This window comes from Homo sapiens, chromosome 4 (genome assembly GCF_000001405.40).
Source record: "Homo sapiens chromosome 4, GRCh38.p14 Primary Assembly".
Taxonomy (NCBI): Eukaryota; Metazoa; Chordata; class Mammalia; order Primates; family Hominidae; genus Homo; species Homo sapiens.
The window spans coordinates 68,584,588-68,591,776 of record NC_000004.12 but is presented as its reverse complement, the minus strand read 5'-3'; the positions used below and the strand labels follow the sequence as shown (position 1 = coordinate 68,591,776).

General features: G+C 35.8%; 1 annotated feature.

Annotated features, from left to right (window-relative positions):
* Window positions 6,693-6,795: a silencer, noted in NCBI's record as "fragment chr4:69450700-69450802 (GRCh37/hg19 assembly coordinates)". NCBI's record gives its function as "represses an EF-1alpha promoter that drives an FKBP-Casp9 reporter gene in an ReSE screen in phorbol 12-myristate 13-acetate-treated (for megakaryocytic differentiation) K562 erythroleukemia cells {active_cell/tissue: K562(+PMA)}" and the evidence as "EXISTENCE:reporter gene assay evidence [ECO:0000049][PMID:32094911]".

Sequence of the window (7,189 nt, the reverse complement as noted above, 5' to 3'; positions counted from 1 at the left end):
TCATTTTCTCTCCCACTTGCAAAACAAATCAAGTTGATGTATAATATTAAAGGCTGTGGTTCCATTAGGTGGCCATTTATCTTGATATTCCAAATCATAATGAGGCCAAACAGTATTACATAAAAATGTCAATTTATTTTTCTTAAGCTCACCTAATTGAAATTTGTTCCAATGCTCTACTAGACATCCTAGTGGAGAACTCAGAACTCTTCAGGATCAAAGCTGTATTACACAGGAGCAGAGCAGGTGAAGGTAGAGATCCTTGTGAACAAGGTAGTGCTGCCACAGGGCAAGCTTCACTAAAAAGGATAAAGGAGCTTTCAGAGCTAAACAAGCAAGGGAAAATGATTCAGTAGTTGACTTAATTCTGGCATTCTTGTTAGTCGCATAATATAAATGAGCTGAGTCACCTGAACTAGAGAATCTACAATAGAGGGCCTGACCAAAGAAATGTCACACTAAGTAAGGGAAATGATATGCATCCAGAGAGGAATGTCCAGGTTAAGGATAGTAATGGTAAGTAGGGTAAAACTTACATGATCATGCTGTTCATAATCAAGAAATAAAGGTCAGTTGATTAGTGAGGGGATGAAAAAGAATTTCCAAAAAGAAATCTCCAGTTCTCCTTCTGGGAGCTGTTCACCCATGGGAGATTGGCATAATTGCTACTGGGCTAAATCGTGCACACTGGACCAAAACTTGTAAGTACCAAATTTCAATTAATCTTTTGAGAGATGAGACAATAAATAATTCATTCGAATGGGCTAGATATAGGGAAAGTAAATCTTGCAGAGCCATTCATCTCTAATGTCTTTTAGCAACATGCCGAAGCACACAAGTAAAGGGCCACTAATCCAAAGACAAATGAGGAACGTGAAAGTTAAAAATCTCAGGACCATCAAGCAAGGTCTCTGCAAAGAAACAGTAAGTATAGTCAGCAGTCAGAAAATTGGCAGACAGCAGACAGTCTTTAGTGAATGACAGAGAGCACAGGGAGGGCTAATTGAAAGGGAGTAGTAATTAACATTTTGTAGCATTGAACCCATTTCTTGTTGTGAAGGGCTTCTAACCCCCTTAGCTTTCGGAAAGGCCTCTAAACCTCTTATCTGTCAGAAGGGCCTCTAACTGTCCTAAGTTGGGCCTCTAAACCGATTTTGAACAGTGTCTCTGTTCGAGTATAAAAATATGTTCCACCACTTACCCAAATCAGCCAATTGGTGTTGCATAGTCTATTTCCTTTGGGTTGGAATCTCACCTCATTTAGGTCCCAGCAGAGTCACCAGAGGAAAATATTACTGGAAAAGTGGTCTTGTCCCAGACGTTAAGGGTGGGTTTGTGGATCTCATGTGGGAAAGAATGCAAGGTGAGTCGCAGAGTACAGTAAAATTAACAGTTTGTTAGAGACTACTCTATTACAGAATAGGGCATCCTCAGAAAGCAAGAAGAGAAATACCCCTACCTTAAACTTAGTGCTTGCTTATATAGGTTGTTAAGAATACTGTACTTTATTACAAAGGTTTGTGATCAGCTTGTGACAGGCTATTAATATTGTTATTTTCCTATGTATTATTGATTTCAGCAAGATTTTACAAGTGGGCTAGTTTTTTAAAGGAAAACTAATTCTTAAATTAAGAAGTTTTTGTTTTCAAACTATTGGGACATTTTCATAAGTTCTGGGTCTTTATTTAGTTAATTATCATCATTAACTCATTCCCTCAACCATGAGTATCTTGTAACCAAGAGTGCTCAATCCCCTGGGAATGTAACCTGGCAGGTTTGACCTTGTCTGACTTATTCAAGGTGGAATCACTCTGGTTAGAATGCCTCTGACAGTTTGTGTGACTCAGTTCCCAAGCTAAACTTTTTTCCCTTTGGCATAGTGACTTTAGGATCTTGATTCTTTATTTTTCTTTCACACTAGCAAACAGAACCCTAGCATGTGCAAAAAGCTTTGGACATACAGAAGGGAATTTTATGCCAGAAATGCAAACTAACTTTAACCAGAAGGGAATTTTATGCCAGAAATGCAAACTAACTTTAACATCTCAAAAAACTGGTGAATATGTAATATCATTAGAATAAGGACAATAACTGCATAATCATTTTAATAAAGGCAGAAAAAATCATGTGATTAATGCAATACCTTTCAGAAACATCCTTAAACTGACAAATAGTATCTATAAATAAAACACACACTGACACCGCACTTAATGGAGAAAGACTAAATTGGCTTTTCTCACTTCCATTCAACACTGTATTAGAGGTTCTAGATAAGATAAATTGGTTTAAAAAATGAAAGAATAAAAGACTCCATACTAGAAATAAACAAGTTAAGCTATCTTTATTGGCTTTTGTCATAATGTTATAATAGTAAACATTTACAAATCCGCTAGAAAAATATTAGAGCAGTAAACCAATAAAGCAAGGTTTTAGGATATAGGATCAATAAAAAAAAAGTTATTTCTCCCTAATTGCAATAAAAATTTAGGCTAAAATAACGATTAAAACAATCACAATTAAAATAGCACAAAAATACAGTTCGTGAATAATTTTTTTCTCTTTTTTTTTTTTTTTTTTTTGAGATGGAGTCTCACTCTGTAGCCCAGGCTGGAGTGCAGTGGCATGATCTCGGCTCACTGCAACCTTCACCTCCTGGGTTCAAGCAATTCTCCTGCCTTGGCCTCCTGAGTAGCTGGGGTTACAGGCATGCACCACCACACCTGGCTAATTTTTGTATTTTTAGTAGAGACGGGGTTTCACCATGTAGGTCGGGCTGATCTCGAACCCCTGACCTTGTGATCTGCCCACCTAGGCCTCCCAAAGTGCTGGGATTACAGGTGTGAGTCACCACGCCTGGCCATCAATAAATTTAACAAAAGGAGAGTAAAACTTGCCCTGTGAAATCTACAAAACATTATGGAAATAAATTAAATGATATCTAAATAAATGAAAAGGCATCTTATACTCATGTATTGAAACACCTAATATTGTGACAATGCCCATACTCTGCTCCCCAAATTGTTATGCAGATTCAATTCAATCCCTATTAAAATCCCAGATAACTTCTTGCATAAATTGACTAGCTGATTCTAAAATGTATGTAGATATGTAGGAGACAGTAATAACTGAAACAATTTAGATGTAGTGGCATGCACCTGTAGCCCCAGCTACTCAGGTGGCTGAAATTCATTGATTGCTGGAGCCCAGGACTTCTAGTTCAGCCTGGGAAATGTAGTGAGACCCCTGCCTTAAAAAAAAAAAAAAAAAAAAAAAAAAGCTAGAAGAAAAAAAAATAGCTGAAACAATTTAAAATAAAAAACAAAGTTGGAAGGCTTACACTTTCTGCTTTTAAAGACAAATACCAATATACAATAATCAAGAGAGTGTGATACAGACATAAGGTAGGCATACAAATCAGTGTAATAGATTTTGGAATCTAGGAATATACTCACGCATTTATGGTTTTTGACCAAAGTGCCCAATTTAATGAGTCAAAGAATAGATTATTCAACAAATGTAATTGAGAAAACTGATTATCCATATACGAAATAATAGAGGTTGGCCCCCTACCTCAAACCACTTACAAAAATTAACTCAAAATAAGTTAAAAGCTAAATGTAAGCAATAGAACTGTAAAACTCTAATAATGAAACATGGTTGCTAATGTCCATGATTTTGCATTTGGGGATAGTTTAGTAGATATGACACTAAAAATAAAAGTGACCCAATTCAAGTTGATTCATAGGATTTCATCAAAATTAATATTTTTGTGTTTCAATGGACATCATTAAGAAAGTAAAAAGACAACCAAAAAAATAAGATAATATACTTGGATATCATATATGTGACAAGGGACTTATGTCAAAAATTTATTAAATGCATAAGTCCATAAAAGGAGGACAAATAATCAAAATGGGCAAAGTATCAAAATAGAAATTTTTCTAAGAAAATATATAATGGGAAATTAGCACATAAGAATGCTCAATATTGTTAGATATGAAGGAAATATAAATCATAATGAGATATCACTTCACTCACACTGGCTGTAATCAAAAAACATAGGATAACAACCATTGACAAGGTTATGGAGACATTAAAGCCATCATGCATTGGTGGTGAGAATGGAAAATAATTCTGCCACTGTGAAAAACAGTTAGCAATTCCTCAAAAGGTTACATATACATTTACCATGTAATCCAGTAATTCCACTTCTAGATATACACCCAAGAGAAATAAAAATATGTCCACAGAAAACTTGTACATAAATGTTAATCAATATTATTCATAATCATCAAAAATGGAAAAAATCTATGTCTACCAACTGATAAATGAACAAATAAAATGAGTATATATGCACTTTGGAGTACTATTTGACAATAGAAAGAAATGAAGTCCTTATATACACTCTTCCATGGGTGAACCTTTAATACATTATGCTAAGCACAAGAAGCCACTCACTAAAGACCATACATTGTATGATTTCATTTTTTAAATTTTTTTTATTTTTCCATAGGTTTTTGGCGTGCAGGCGGTATTTGGTTACATAAGTTCTTTAGTGGTGATTTGTGAAATCCTGGTGCACCCATCACCCAAGCAGTACATACTGTACCACATATGTTGTCGTTTATCCCTTGCTTCCTCACACTCTTCTGCTCAAGTCCCTAAAATCCATTGTAACATTCTTATGCCTTTGTGTCCTCATAGCTTAGCTCCCACATTATCATTGAGAACAGATGATGTTTGGTTTTCCACTCCTGAGTTACTTCACTTAAAATAATAATCTCCAATCTCATTCAGATCATTGCAAATGCTACTAATTCATTAATTTTTATGGCTGAGTAATATTCCATCATATGGATATACCAGTTTCTTTATCCACTCATTGACTGATGGACATTTGGGTTGGTTCCATAATTTTGTAGTTGTGAATTGTGCTACTATAAACATGCATGTGCAAGTATCTTTTTTGAATAATGACTTCTTTTCCTCTGGGTAAATACCCAGAAGTGGGATTGCCAGATCAAATGGTAGTTCTTTTAGTTCTTTAAGGAATCGTCACACTGTTTTCCATAGTGGCTGTACTAGTTTACACTCTCACCAGCAGTGTAGAAGTGTTCCCTGATCACTGCATCCATGCCAACATCTACTGTATTTTGATTTTTTTACTATGGCCATTCTTGAAGGAGTAAGGTAGTATTGCATTGTGGTTTTGATTTGCATGTGCCTGATCATTAGCGATGTCGAGCACTTTTTTCATATGTTTCTTGGTCATTTGTATACTTATTTTGAGAATTGTCTATTCATGTCCTTAGCCCACTTTTTATTGGGGTTTTTTTTTTCTTACTGATTTGTTTGAATTCGTTGTAGATCCTGGATATTAGTACTTTGTCAGATGTATAGATTGAGAAGATTTTCTCCCACTCTGTGGGTTGTCTGTTTACTCTGCTGCCTGCTCCTTTTGCTGTGCAAAAGTTAGTTTAATTAGATCCCAGCTATTTAGCTTTGGTTTTACTGCTTTTCTTTTGGGTTTTTGGTCATGAAATCCTTGCCTAAGCCAACGTCTAGAAGGGTTTTCCCAATGTTACCTTCTAGAGTTACAGTTTCAGGTCTTAGGTTTAAGTCTTTAATCCATTTTGAGGTGATTGTTGTATAAGGTGAGAGATAAGGATCCAGTTTCATTCTCCTACATGTGGCTAGCCAATTATCCCAGTACCATTTGTTGAAAAGGGTGTCCTTTCCCCACTTTATGTTTCCGTTTACTTCATCAAAGATCAGTTGGCTGTAAGTATTTGTGTTGTTTTGGGGTTCTCTATTCTGTTCCATTCATCTATGTGCCTGTTTTTATACCAGTACCACTCTGTTTTGGTGACTATGGCCCTAGAGTACAGTTTGAAATCAAGTAGTGTGATGGCTCCAGATTTGTTCTTTTTGCTTAGTCTTGCTTTGGCTGTGTGGGCCCTTTTTTGGTTCCATATGAATTTTAGAATTGTTTATTCTAACTCTGTGAAGAATGATCGTGGTATTTTGATGGAGATTGCATTGAATTTGTAGATTGCTTTTGGCAGTATGATCATTTTCACAATATTGATTCTACCCATCCATGAGCATGGGATGTTTTTCCATCTGTTTGTGTCATCTATGATTTCTTTCAGCAGTGATTTGTAGTTTTCCTTGTAGACAGGTCTTTTGACTCCTTTGTTAGGTATATTCCTAAGTATTTTACTCTACTTTACTTTTTTGCAGCTATTGTAAAAGGGGTTGAGTTCTTGATTTGATTCTCTGCTTGGTTGCCTTTGGTGTATAGAAGATCTACTCATTTGTGTACATTAATCTTGCATCTGGACACTTTGTGGAATTCCTTTACCAGTTCTAGGTGCTTTCTGGAGGAGTCCTTAGGATTTTCAAGGTAAACAATGATATTGTTAGCAAACAGGGACAGTTTGACTTCTTCTTTACTGATTTGGATGTCCTTTATTTCTTTCTCTTTTCTGATTGCTCTGGCTAGGATTTCTAGTACTATGTTGAAGAGGAGTGGTGAGAGTGGGCATCCTTGTCTTCTTCCCTTTCTCAGAGGGAACGCTTTCAACTTTTTCCCATTCAGTATTACGTTGGCTGTGGGTTTGTCATAGATGGCTTTTATTATATTAAGGTATTCCCCTGTATGTCAGTTTTGCTGAGAGTTTTAATCATAAAATGATGCTGGATTTTGTCAAACACTTTTTCTGCATCTATTGAGATGATCATGTGATGTTTGTTTTTAATTCTGTTTATGTGATGTATCACATATATTGACTTGTGTATGTTAAACCATCCCTGCATCCCTGGTGTAAAACTCACGTTATCACGGTGGATTATCTTTTTGATATGTTGTTGGATTCGGTTAGCTAGTATCATGTTAAGGATTTTAGCATCTATGTTCATTAAGGATATAGGTCTGTAGTTTCCTTTTTTGGTTGTGTCCTTTTTTGGTTTTGGTTTTAGGGAGATGCTGGCTTCATAGAATGAATTAGGGAGGGTTCCTCTTTTCTCTGTCTTGTGGAATAATGTCAAAAGGATTGGTGCCAATTCTTCTTTGAATGTCTGGTAGAATTCTGCTGTGAATCTGTCTGGTCCTGGACTTTTTGTTGTTGGTAATTTTTAAATTACCATTTCAACCTTGCTGCTTCTTATTGGTATGTTCAGTGTATTT